At 34.0% G+C, this 13,868-nt stretch overlaps 1 protein-coding gene across 13 annotated transcripts in view; it reads left to right on the forward strand.

Moving 5' to 3' along the window:
• XRCC4 (X-ray repair cross complementing 4) overlaps positions 1-13,868 on the forward strand; it is a 296,927-nt gene that overhangs the window by 170,326 nt on the left and 112,733 nt on the right. For all 13 annotated transcript variants that reach the window (XM_047417695.1, XM_017009827.3, NM_001318012.3 and 10 more), the window contains one exon: positions 10,658-10,805. In XM_047417695.1, the coding sequence (XP_047273651.1) occupies positions 10,658-10,805 (148 nt within the window). Of the gene's footprint in view, positions 1-10,657; positions 10,806-13,868 lie in introns of those variants that run through there.

Below are 13,868 nucleotides of genomic sequence, written 5' to 3' on the forward strand. Positions count from 1 at the left end.
ACTCCAGTAAGAGAACTCAAAACATTTTTCATTTTTCTTGATTAATTATTCTTCCTAGTCAGTGACCTTTACCACTTCTTTATACTGCAGTAATAACAGTAGAGAAAGGTGCTAAGCTGTGTGGGCACAGAGGAGACTTTGGAATAGCGAAGCCCTCCTGACAGAAGTGATATCTTCATTGAGACAAGGGTTGGTGAGAGTTACTACTCTCACCAACTCAACTCTCAGTTGAGCAACTCAAGAGTTGAGCAGAATACTCTTTCTGGCATAAGATTGATCATATGTGCAAACCCAGGAGTAGAGTGAGAGAATGGTACATCTAACAAAATTCAGTATAATTGTAGAAGTAAGCTGACCAGGAAAAGAATGACATTTTAAAAAATACTTTAGGGAGTTTTATTTTTGTCTTGAAGGCAATAGAAAAGGATCTGACTTGATCAGACTTGCATTTTTAGAAAAATTCTCCTAGATGTTTTAATGAGAATTAATTTTATCTGCTTGGCCATGTATAAACTATAGCAGTAATCTAAGTAAGAAACTGTGGAAGTATTGGAGATGCGGATAATTATTAGACAGATCTAAGAACTGTTTATGTGGTACTGATTAGATTTTCAAGATGAAGTTTTGAAAGGCATCAAGACTGATTCCATCTTTGGGGCGTGACAAGTTTTGTGGACGGTAACATTAAGAAAGCTTTGACCTGAACACATTACTGAGACAGCATGCTCATAATAAGGAGTTCACACATTGCTAATAATCATTGCTAACTGTAATTTGAAGATAGCTAAACAGTCTTCATAAATACAAGATTTCATTAAAAAATACATTTATAATAAACCATGATAAATTGACCAGTTACTATTCTTGTCAAATTGATGCTCAAAGTAACTTTAGCTTTTAATTGTCTGATTTTGAGTATAAATAACCAAAGGATATACAAATTAGTCATTTAAAAAATAAAAACCTTACGAGATTTTTGTTGAAAATTTTGAAAAATCATAAGTAACATGAAGTGGTACAACATAAAGAAAACATGTGGATGTTTGGAAATGAAAATTCTTAAGTAAAACTTTCTAATTTGGGCAATACTTTTTGACCCAATACTAACTTAAAAGTGCTTCAAAATGGTCTGAAAGTGCATTAGTCTATCTTACCAAATCTGGATAATATAATCATTTTTAAAAAGCATAATAAGGTAAGTTACAGAATCAGGGATTTTTTTATACCAGAAGTAACCATGTAGTCTAATTTTTCCCCACCTAATTTTATGGATTTAAAAATAAACCTTTACAGAATTGTTATGTGACCTGCCCATAGTTATCGAGACAATGACTAACAGACTCAAGTTTGGAATTCTTCTAAAGTATTTTATTAATTCAGTATAAACATTTTCTTAGTTATTTGACCATTTGGTATAGATTTTTTCTTATTCCTTCTAAATGAAAGTGTTGCCTAATCCCATTCGGTTTTAAAGCTAGTTAGGACATGTCTAGTGTTGCAAATCCGGAAATCTCTTTTTTGAAAATCATTTCACAGTTTTCAAGGAATGCCTCCGAAATTTAGCCTTCTAGTTTCCTTTTCATAGAACAACTACAAACTGGCCAAATTATATCACAGAGGCACCAACCTTGTTGTAAAGGAGTTTAAAGAAGTGCAAATAGAATGTTTTTTCCTAATGTATCAAAATTATTCCAGAGTTTTCTGAGATTAAGCATGCATTGGCAAAATGAAGTGGAAAGGTTTATCATTGTCAAATTCTGTTAAGTTCTTCTTCCTACCCCTGTTAGTGATCAGAGAGAGAGAGTTTGTGGTATATATTACTGTTCCTTATCCACCAAATTCACCAGATAATCATGCCAATAATTTAGTCTGCCAATTTTATCAGATTTTGATTTTGACTTACTAGTCAAGCTAGTGATCTTGTCCTAGTTCTAACCAGGTAATGTAGAGTCACTGCAGGTAATATGCTGGTAATATATTATTTTCAAAAAATAACCTGAAAGATTCCCTCTACCATTTCTTTTACAAAGGTTTTATATTTTATTTATTTTGTCTAATTTTTAAATTTATCCTAGTTCAATGAAAGCCTCTCTAAGCTTTGTAAAAAGTCTAGATTTGATTAACAGTTGAGTAAAATAAAAAGCAATGAAAATTTCAAAAATCCTTAGACATCTCTGTGAAGAAATCACTAGCAAATGTCTTAGGTTGACAGAAGTGAACCTATGAAAACAATGAAGCTTTGTGTTGGCTCCAAACATTTCATGACATAGGTAGCTGTTGAAAGCTGAGAAATTGTAGTTTTGTTTTCTGAGAACTTATTAACCATTTAAAGTGCTCTCAGAGGTTTGTTATTTTTAACTGCAAAATGATATAAATTGAAGGCTTAATGTTGTTCTTTCACAAATTGCTTTTCCCCACTAATGTTTTTCTTTTCTTAATGTTAACTGGAACTGGCACCAGCAGGCATAAATAATCAATAATATGGTATTTCACACAGATGCAAAATAACTTGTAAGTTATTTATTATTAGGTTCCATTAGTATTTAAGAATTTATAGCAATCATTGAATATTTATTGAGAAATTACTTAGTGTTACACACCATTCTAGTCTGTCTTGATCTATCAGTGGATAAGACAAACTAAGTCCCTGCCTTCATGGAGCTTATAAATATTAGATAAATTATTGCAAGTTTGATGAAATCTAAGGATGCTTGAGGGCTACCCAAAAGTTCTACCCAAAAAGGTGGTTGTATAGTTTCAATTCAGATTTGCTGTTTGAGTTCGTTCTGAAACATCCTGAAAACCTAATTTTAAAGCCAGGCTTTTCTTAAATCAGTTTGCTCAGCGTGAGCTAGCCCTTTAATTTTCTCTTTTGGAAAATGTACTTCAGGGCCACCTGATTGTAAGGATTATGCTTTCAAAAAAAGCATCTATATAAGAAGAAAAGCAATGTAAGAAATAAAATTATAATAGATATTTGACAATGGAAAAGAAAAATCGAAGCTTCACAGATTAATTTGGGAAATGTAGTAAACAGCTGGAAATCTATGCCTACCTTTGGACTATTAAATTAGTTCCTTTTTAATTGCTTGTGTGGCTTATGGCTTCCTTACAAATAGTTGTGTCTTTCTGTCCTACTTAATTATAAACTTTTTGAATGCATGCTTGTAGTGTCTTCTGGATAGTGCCAGAGTTCCAGAGTTTTCAAGGAATGCCTCTGAAATTTACCTTAATATTTGCCTCTGCATAGAATAGTTCATAAAACACTCAATAAATATTGGTTGAATGAGTGGAGGAATAAATGAATTCTTAAGGTCTGAAGAACTGAATTCCTTTGGTAGTAAAGTTTTAAGAAACAATTTTAACAAATTAAACATTGAGGCCAGGTGCAGTGGCTCACTCCAGCACTTTGGGAGGCTGAGGCGGGTGGATCACGACGTCAGCAGATCAAGACCATCCTGGCTAACATGGTGAAACCCCGTCTCTACTAAAAATACAAAAATTAGCTGGGTGTGGTGGCGAGTGCCTGTAATCCCAACTACTCAGGAGGCTGAGGCAGGAGAATGGCTTGAACCCGGGAGGTGGAGGTTGCAGTGAGCTGAGATCGTGCCACTGCACTCCAGCCTGGGCGACAGAACGAGACTCCGTCTCAAAAAAAAAAAAAAAAAAAAAAAATTAAACATTGAAATGTTTTGTAGGCGTAGAACAATAAATATCTAATATAATCAACTTACTCTTTTTTATGCTGCAGATACTTCTGGGGTCTGTGGTTTATCCTTAATAGCCCACTCTGCCTCTGACATTGAGAGTATTAGATTTCCAAAGATGACCTCCTGAGTTACCCCAGTGTCAGCAGGTATTTGTCATTAAGTCTGACTTATAGCTGTACTGGCTAAGAGAGGAGGCTGACATTTGGGAAAGTTATGTAAACAGATGCAGACACATACATTCTTAAGTGTTTGGTGCTATGTTAATAATCAGTTTATTTGGTGATTGGTAATTAATAGATTACACCATTGACCTGTCTTGTAAGATGGTCGTCAGTTATTCAGGTTAGGTTGTGAAAACTGAGTAGCAACTGATTTACAGAATTGAAAATGGGCATTTGATAAATGGCATGGAAAAATAATGTTTGCTTGTTTGGTCAGATTAGAAATTTACTACCTCAAGATAGGTAACTTTGAGATACTGCCTATTGAAGTATGGTGTGCTAGACCTTATCTCAGCCTCTTTTCTTGATTATCTTTATACTTGTCAGTAAGACATACTACAGAGGCACAAGGTAGCCTGAGGCATTGGTTGGTTGTTTTCTCTTGGGAAAGAAGGAATATGTGTTTTGAAGTTTCAGACTCATTTAGGGTTGTATTTTAAGGTTTGCGTTTTGTGCTTTTTTCTCTTAATATTTTATATCTTTTGAAATGAAACAAGGACTTATTTATTCTAAATATTTTATAAACACTTGTGAAATGAATAAATAAATAAAACAGCCAAAAGCAGTCATAGTAGACTGAGTACTCTGTGTTCATAATAGATGGTGGTTCTGTGACAATTGGAATATTTTGAATAGGAAAACTAGTATTTATCTTACTTTTTTTTTTTGTCTGTGAGAAGATATAGAAGATAGCCTAAATGAATATTAATTTGGTCTTTCGTTGACAACATACTGTTTTAAAAATAATACCTTAATGATGATATTGGATATTTCTGATACTTTTTTATTTAAAAATATTTGTAAATATGTACATTGATTTATAATCAATTTACATTATTATTTACTCTATTTTGTCATCTCAGAAATTGTGGTTTATATACATTTTCTCAGCTGAGAAACTTAGAGATTCTGTAATATACCCAAGGTAAATGCAGAACTGGAGATCCAAACCCAGGCATTCTCACTCCACTTTACCCTACATCTCATCTGGAGGTTTATAAGTAAGTTTTTGATTAAAAAATAAGATACACATTTGAAAATAAGAGATCCAGTCTTTATATTTATCTTGTATAAAATTACCGAGTAATATGTTAGGGTTTAGCACAAGGCATGGGTTCCAGCTATAGGGTATTCATAATTTAATTGGAGAAACAAGAGATAAACATAAAAAGAAAGTAACAATATAAGATTGTATGTATAAGATGAGTGATTCAAACTGTAAGTCCTACAGAGACAGGAAAGATTTCTGTGGATTGGGACTACTAAACTAGGATGACTGAAATGAGTTGAGCTGTGCTAGAAGGAGGCACATAGATGAGCCAGTAAAGGAGTAGAGGGCATTCAAAACAGGGGAAGTACAGAACAAAAGTAAAGGTATTGTTGCCCTGCAGCCCTTGGTATAGCTTACATATATGGTAGAAGATTTGTGGGAGATGTGGTTACAAAGGCAGGTGAAGGTCACATTGTAGAAGGATTTGAACGCAGGGCTAAGATCTTAGGACTTTATTTTGTAGGCAATGGGAAACCACTCATGGTTGGTTGGTTGGTTGGTTTGTCTGTACATGGCATTTGCAAACAGTACACATTTTTTTTTTTCATGGTCAAGACACCTGAAGATTAGAGCTTCCTTCCTTCTATAAGCTACATTGCCACAACTGTGAATAACATGCTTCACTACATTGGGGTGTATGTTTGTGTGTGTGTGTGTGTGTATATGTATTTGAGGGGGCTAGAGATGAGCATATCTGTATGGCGGGGCAAGGGGAAGAGAGGTGGCAATCTTCATTCAAGTATTATAGACTCTTTCTGTGTGCCAAGCTATATATCATATGAAAAGAAAAACATCTATAAATACAAGATAATAATGAAGGCCTTATAAAAACAAATTATAAACCTGAAAAATGATTTATAAAAATAATGAGATTTAAAGATTTCTTGGTCAGAGGCTGAAGTTTACCAGGTAATTTAACTTAGGAGATTCAGCCAAATTCCTGGCAGCTTAGCCAACAGTGTCATTTCATTCCCACATTGAGAGTACCCAGGGAAGCTAACTCCCTGCCTTTCTCATGTCTGAACTACTGTTGCCAAGATCCTGCAGTTCTTCTGTCAGATGAGAAGAAGTGTGGCTTTTTGTGGAGCCACCTTTCACAATAACAGGGCTTGTGAAAAGATTCCCCATTTTCAAGATGCAGTGAACCTAACAAGAACTTGAAATTCATCCCACGGCCATACCAATCAGTATTCCAGCTGTAGTAAGTTAATTGGCAATCGTTTTTTGTTTTTTTTTTTTTCTTTTGTCTTCTATTTAAAAAAAAAAATCCTGGAAATGGTAAAAGACATGTTGTCGTGACAAAAAAAAATGATTGCAATATTAAACACTGAGAATTCTGGAGGTGGAATCTTAAGAAAAAAACCTCCCCAGTCAATATCGAATCCATACTTTTCTGCCTGCATTTGAAAACTTGCAAGCTGATTTAACATATCGCTCTGCCTTCTTACTCCTTCCATTTCTTTTCTGCTGCCCATATTTATCCTGTCTCATTTCCTGCACCTTTCATGCATGCCATTACAACAAGGCCACCCTCCTCCTCATTACCCTTTGAACATTTGCCATTTTTTTCCGACTCTATTCAAGTTCTCTCTCATATCTAAAATGAATACATATAACCTAATACACTTAATACGAATTGATTTTTTTAACAATGAGATGCCAGACTTGAAAGTGAAAACTTGAATTATTGCACTCAAATATATATATAAGGTAATGAATATTATAGACATTTTTGAACTCCTATCTGTGACCTCCTATTGATATAGTTGGGATCCCTTCTGTTGTGTGTGAAATAGCATTGCTCATTTGGAGACCGACAGTCATTGTTCAAGGGAGCTAATTTCAGAGCAGAATTGTAGTATTTAGCATCAAGACCAAAGACAATGAAAAGACCAAACATTATCACAATTGGAGGAAAGAGGCAGGATGGGTTGAAATTTGAAAAATGTAGACCAGGCGCGGTGGCTCACGCCTGTAATCCCAGCGCTTTGGGAGGCCGAGGTGGGTAGATCACCTGAGCTCAGTAGTTCAAGACCAGTCTGGCCAACATGGTGAAACCGTGTCTCTACTAAAAATACAAAAATTAGCCGGGCATGGTGGCAGGCTTCTGTAATCCCAGCTACTCAGGAGCCCGAGGCAGGAGAGTTGTTTGAACCCAGGAGGCAGAGGTTGCAGTGAGCCGAGATCACGCCATTGCGCTCCAGCCTGGGCAACAAGAGCAAAATTCCGTCTCAAAAAAGAAAAAAAAAAAGAAAAGAAATTTGAAAAATGTTCGAGATGAGCAATTTAATACTTAGGTACCAAGTATTGGAGTAGTACCTTTTTATCCTGGTTTCAGGGTGGAGAGAGAAGGATAGAATGGATTGTTTTTGCCTTTTATTGAAGGCTAGATAGATAATGAAACTTCATTTTAAAGAAATATTTGAAGTAAGAGAATCTATTACAATATGGTTTGCTATTACATTTATGTGAAAAACTGAGGGGAACACTGTTTCCCATGGTGCAAACACAAACCAAAAAAGATGTATTCCATTTAAACTGTAACTAAGCTTATACAGCTAGCCCTTTTTCTTCATGCCAATTTTATAGAAAGGTTAAACTGTAATTATCAAGAGGAATGAATCATAATGTGGTGAACTGGCCAGAAGTACTTGGTCACACACAACTTCAGTTTATTTGTGGTATAATAATGATAGTCACCAAGAAGTTTGAAGTATGAGAACATTAGACACTTCTCCTACAATTTTGTTTCAGGGCAATTAATAAAATTCTCAAATTAAATTTTGCCACACATACGATTATTAACTAAATATTTACTTGTAAGTAAGCACAAAATAATTCATGAACCTGTCCTATAGGTTTGAAAAAAAATTGCAAGCTCTCGGTCCTTTTAGGTGTCCCAGTCACTACCTCATAGAAAATGTTCATTTTTGACAAATGTAAAGATTCCTGAGCAGGAATGATGATTCTTCCTGACTTCAAACAACCACAGTTGTTCAGGGTTCATAGCTGGACACAGAACCATTTAAAAATTTAGCAGGTTATCTCTAGGTGTAAATAGGCCTCATGGGATTTTTACACCTTGTCCATAAAATGATGGGCAGTATTTCTAAAATATTTTAGCCAGTCTGTATAACACTAGTACTTTTAATTTACTCATGAAAACCCATATGTAATATTCATCAAGTTAGTTTACATGCTTTGTTTTTATCAATAGGCATGCATTTTGTCATTCAGTATACTGATTAGTAAGTCATCAGTTATTGATTGAAATATGAATAACAAAAGTACCTGGAGTGGCCTCCTTAGGAGTACAGATTTCTGATCCCATCAGCCTGCTTCTGGCCGGTGCATTCCTGATTAGATGCTAGAAACATCTTGGTTATAGTCCACCCTCACTAACATACCTTTAGTAACATTGTATTTTAAAGTAAGTTGCAGACATTATAATACATGAGGTAATCACTTCCCAAATACAGTATCCTTTTTGGTTGCCAATTTGTAAGACATCATTTGGAATTCTGAAATGAATGGCAGAAATTTTCACTAATTTTATTTTTAAAAATTTTGCCTTGTATTTTAATTTAAACTTAATATTCTTTTTTCCTAGATATCCGCTGTGACATTAAATATAATCTTTCTCCAGTTTACAAATCTATAACTGAAATGTCCTCTACCTCTAACAGTTTTGCTAGTTTTGTTCATAGACAAGCATATACTTGTACTTTCATTAGTCATCTCTTAGCTTAACAGCATTGGGAAATCTTTCAGCTTGAATGTGTTTAAAAAAAAAAAAAAACTTCCTTTTTAATTTACCCTTATCTATTCCCCATACATTTTTAGAGGCTAATAAAAAAAGTCCTAAAATTTAAACAGCTTTGGAAAGTAAACTATGCTTTGATGGGCTTTCACTTAGTATTTGATCAAAGAATAATTTACCAACTAGGAAAAAATATTTTTTAATTGTCATAATGACAAAATATAAGAATAAAGGCTTTGTGATTTGGGAAAGTCACTTAACCTCTCTGAAGCCTTGTTTTCCTTATAAATAAAATGAAGATAGTAATAATAAGTACTTTATGAAGTAATTTTAAGGATTAACAAGGTAATACATGGAAAACCCATAGCAAAGTGCCCAAAACATAAGATCTGGAAATTGATAGTTATTAAGAAAAAAAAATCAAGAGAGGAATTTCAGTAGAGTGTTCAACAGTGTCCAAGTTGTCTCGTAGAGATCAAGTAAAGCATGAACTACACAGAGTGAGAACTCAACATGCAAGCTTTTCTGCCAGAATGTAATATATGTGTACCTGAAAAACCACTCATTCTGCAAAATTACACAGTAAAAATAACAGGCTTAAGGGAGAAAAAATTAAGCTTTGGGCAATATATTCAAAATCGACTCAGTTTCTCCCATTCTGTAGCAATTTACCCATCTGACAAAGGGCTGATATCCAGAATCTACACAGAACTTAAACAAAATTTACAAGAAAAAAAAAAACCCATTAAAAAGTGGCCGAAGGATATGAACAGACACTTCTCAAAAGAAGACATTTATGCGGTCAACAGACATATGAAAAAAAGCTTATCATCACTGGCCATTACAGAAATACAAATCAAAACCACAATGAGATACTATCTCATGCCAGTTAGAATGGTGATCATTAAAAAGTCAGGAAACAACAGATGCTGGAGTGGATGTGGAGAAATAGGAACGCTTTTACACTGTTGGTGGGAGTGTAAATTAGTTCAATCATTGTGGAAGACAGTGTGGTGATTCCTCAAGGATCTAGAACCAGAAATACCATTTGACCCAGCAATCCCATTACTGGGTATATACCCAAAGTATTCTAAATCATTCTACTATAAAGACATATGCACATGTATGTTTATTGCAGCTCTATTTACAATAGCAAAGACTTGGAACCAACCGAAATGCCCATCAATGATAGACTGGATAAAGAAAATGTGGCACATATACACCATGGAATACTATGCAGCCATAAAAAAAGGATGAGTTCATATCCTTTGCAGGGATATGGATGAAGCTGAAAACCATCATTCTCAGCAAGCTAACACAAGAACAGAAAACCAAACATTGCATGTTCTCACTCATAAGTGGGAGCTGAACAATGAGAACACATGGACACAGGGATGGAAACATCACACACCGGGGCCTGTCAGTGGGTGAGGAGCAAGAGGAGGGATACCATTAGGAGAAATACCTAATATAGATGACAAGTTGATGGGTGCAGCACACCACCGTGGCACTTGTATACATATGTAACAAACCTGCACGTTCTGTACATGTATCTCAGAACTTAAAAGATAATAAAAAAAAACTATGCAGTTTTGTTTTTGTTGCTATGATTTCTAGTTACAATCCTAATAAAAATACTATCTCCATTAAATCTCCAAGAACACGTTCACCCAGCATCAAAGATCATTTTGATCAAATTATTCCGTGTGTACAATATACATAATGTTTTTTGTTGGTAGTAAAGTATCATATGGCATCTAACTGACTTGATTCAACAAATCTGCATAAAGATTTGAAAGAATAGTTTTGCTATATTTTAATTGTCACCTTATGTCAATGCTAAAACAGCAAGTTAATACTTACAAATGATGTGCATAATTTTGTTGGGTCACATTCTCATCTCATTTTATTTCAGCTGCTGTAAGTAAAGATGATTCCATTATTTCAAGTCTTGATGTCACTGATATTGCACCAAGTAGAAAAAGGAGACAGCGAATGCAAAGAAATCTTGGGACAGAACCTAAAATGGCTCCTCAGGAGAATCAGCTTCAAGAAAAGGAAAAGTAAGTCATTTTATTCTTTGCCAAGAAGTGAGATGACATTTTTGAAAATCTAGCATATGATCTTAAAAATTATGTTTTCATTTTGAACGTTTTTAAAGTTATTTTTAAGAAAATGTCATTTTGGAATTGTAAAATGTTTGAATCAATGTATTGTTTCAGTATTTGGTTAATTTCTATTAATATTTAAAGCTGAAATGCTGAGAACGTAAGCAAAAATTTTTTTCTCATGGTTTTTATAGATTAATTAGAAATGGCATGTAGGATACAAAAAATATTGGAATCCAACTAGTGTTCAGTAAAGTGTTTCAATCTAATTTACTGCTTGAAAGAGACCCGTATGGCATTCAAATTAGCCATTTAATTTGGTTATGCTTGGCATTTTTTTTCAAGTAAAATGTCTCCTTCTCATCATCTGTTTATTTCTATCAAGTTTTGGCATTGTGTACTTTATTTTCACTGTTTTCACTCTTTGGTTCTGATTACCCTGCATCAGTCTGTATTTCAATTTAGGTGTGATGAGTTGCGAAGTTGAAACACTTAATATTTCGTTACAGCAAAACAATGAGCATTTATAAAGAATATTATCAGTTTAATCCAAAATGAATGTTCAAATCATTTGTATCTTTGGGTATGTGTATGTATGCTCTGAAAATTTATTTTTTCTAAAGTTTTTGTTAATTCAGTAAATAGTTATTGAATGATGATGCTGTGGCAGATGATTTTATAGTTCAGTGATTTTCACAGGATGGAATGAGGGTACCTGGGGTTTTCCAATGGCCCTTTGTAGGGGTCCATAAGGTCGTCCCTTCTTAAATTCCATACCTGTGTGAGGCTGGATTTTCTTATATCCTTCAATTAAAATAACATTTCACTGCTGATTGAATGCAGAAGCTGGTGAAAATCCAACTGTTTTCAATCAAACCAGCTATCAAACAGGTTTGAAAAGTATAAAACAATGCCCTCATAACATTTTTTTCTGGAAAATACGTTTCATAAAGAATATATCATTCATATTATCATATACTGGATTTGTGTTATTTTTAAATGAATTAATGAATCTGTTTAAATTTTCTCAGGTTTAATTTTCAATATGGCAAATAGTCTACATAAACTAAAATGTGGAGTCAAAACTCTTGAGACCCTCAAAAATTTTTTAAAGTATAAAGTATTCCTGAGAGCAAAAAGCTTTAAAATTCTGTTATAGACAATAAGGATGCAAAGAAGCACAATTCATGCCATCAGGAAACTGGCAGCCTAGTGGGAACATGTTTTAGTTTCTAGCGTATAAACATTGTATAGTGGGATTATTTTGTCTATCATTGTGTTTTTGTTCTCTCCACGATTGGCCTGATCTACATATACTTAAAAATGCTATCTCCATACTATGCTGTATCCCTAATGTCTTCAGACAATATATGCAAAAACCCATTGTGCACTAAATTCTTTCCGGTTTGTGTTTATCATTTGAATTTATTCGTAGCTTATAACCCCTTGATAGAGCTCATAGAGTTCAAGGCATAGTGTGATCTCTTTTATACGGTGAACCAAAAATATTTTCAATTTACAGACATTGAAATAGCCAAACTATGGGAAAGAATAAAATTATAAGCAGTTTAAAACGTTCCAGAAACTAAGTACTTCATTCAGTCAATTAGTAGACAAGTGAGTAATGAGTTGAAATTGAATTATGTGCCAGGCATAATGTTGATCATGCTGAGGATCCCAGAAAGTAGAAAATAGACACAGCTCCTGTCCTCATGGAACTTTCAGTCCAATTGTTTTGTCTGATAATGACTTAATGGTTTGCGGGAAGAAGGAAATATTGGTTTTATGTTGGAGAGCTGCATCTTAGGTCTTTTCACTCTATGTGTGAACCAAAGGTAAGGTTTTAGGTTGCTAACATTTTCTGAGTACACTGTGTTGCTTAAGCAGGTTTCTGATATGCATGATACAGAGATGAAAGAAGTTTAGCTCTGAATCAAGACTAAATATTTTTATTTAGCTTTTTAATAAAGATAATGTGTTTGTTTCTCCAAACATACAGACAATTAATATTATGTTCCTTTTCTTTTCCATGTTTAGGTAATCATGTCAATGTTTATGTTATATATTTTCACCATTTTAAAAGTTGACAAAGTTGATGTAAACCATATCAGCTTTGGTAACGGTCTGCTAATTATATCATTGTAGGCCCTTTAGGCAGACTGCCCCTAAGTAGAAATGAAAACACCTGTTAGATGTCAGTGAGCATTTTAAATATTAAGAGAAATTTAGCATGTATCAGTCAGATGTTGAGTGGTTGATACCCTACTGTATAATGCCTCCTCTTTTGCTCAAATAAAACAAAATGTTAAATTATGTATTTTTTTCTTATTTTTTTATACTATAGGATTTTTTTTGCATTTTGAATACAGGAGACTGAAATTTTATGGCTCTTAAAAATTTTAAATACTAGTTGTACTTTCCCAATATTTTTAATGAAAAAAAGAAGCTTCTATAAAACAAAAGCAAAAATAAGCCTTAGCTCTTAAAAAACCTCAGAGTAAGACGTTCTCAATTACTAATGGCTAGCCCTTATTTTAAGTTTTAAAATTAAAACTGCTACCTATTTTCCTCCCTTCCTGAAGCATGATTTTTTTCTCTGACAGCTTGTCATCAAAAACATAAACATCAATTAGGTCATGTACCCTATCTGTAGACTCACAAATAAACGCAGATATGGTTAGTTTGCTACTTACGGGTGAAAATACATCAGTCCCTACCTCTAAACTTAAGTTTCCTAGGCCCTTCTGATTGCATGACCTTCAGTCCCTTCCAACATTCCCACCAGACATCTTACATGTGATTCCACTATTTAGCTTCTCTATCTCTGCAACTCAAGAAAAAAGAAACAAAAGTAGGGGAAGGAGTGGTCATAAGTACTATGGCTTAATTTTTTTTTTTTTTTTGTCTACAAGACTTTGTGCAAGTCATTTTACCTTTCCAAGTTTCAGTTTTCTCATCTAAAAATGAAAGGATTATACTAGATGATCTGTAAGATCCCTCTCAATATTTATAGATCTA

This window comes from Homo sapiens, chromosome 5, assembly GCF_000001405.40.
Source record: "Homo sapiens chromosome 5, GRCh38.p14 Primary Assembly".
NCBI lineage: Eukaryota > Metazoa > Chordata > Mammalia > Primates > Hominidae > Homo > Homo sapiens.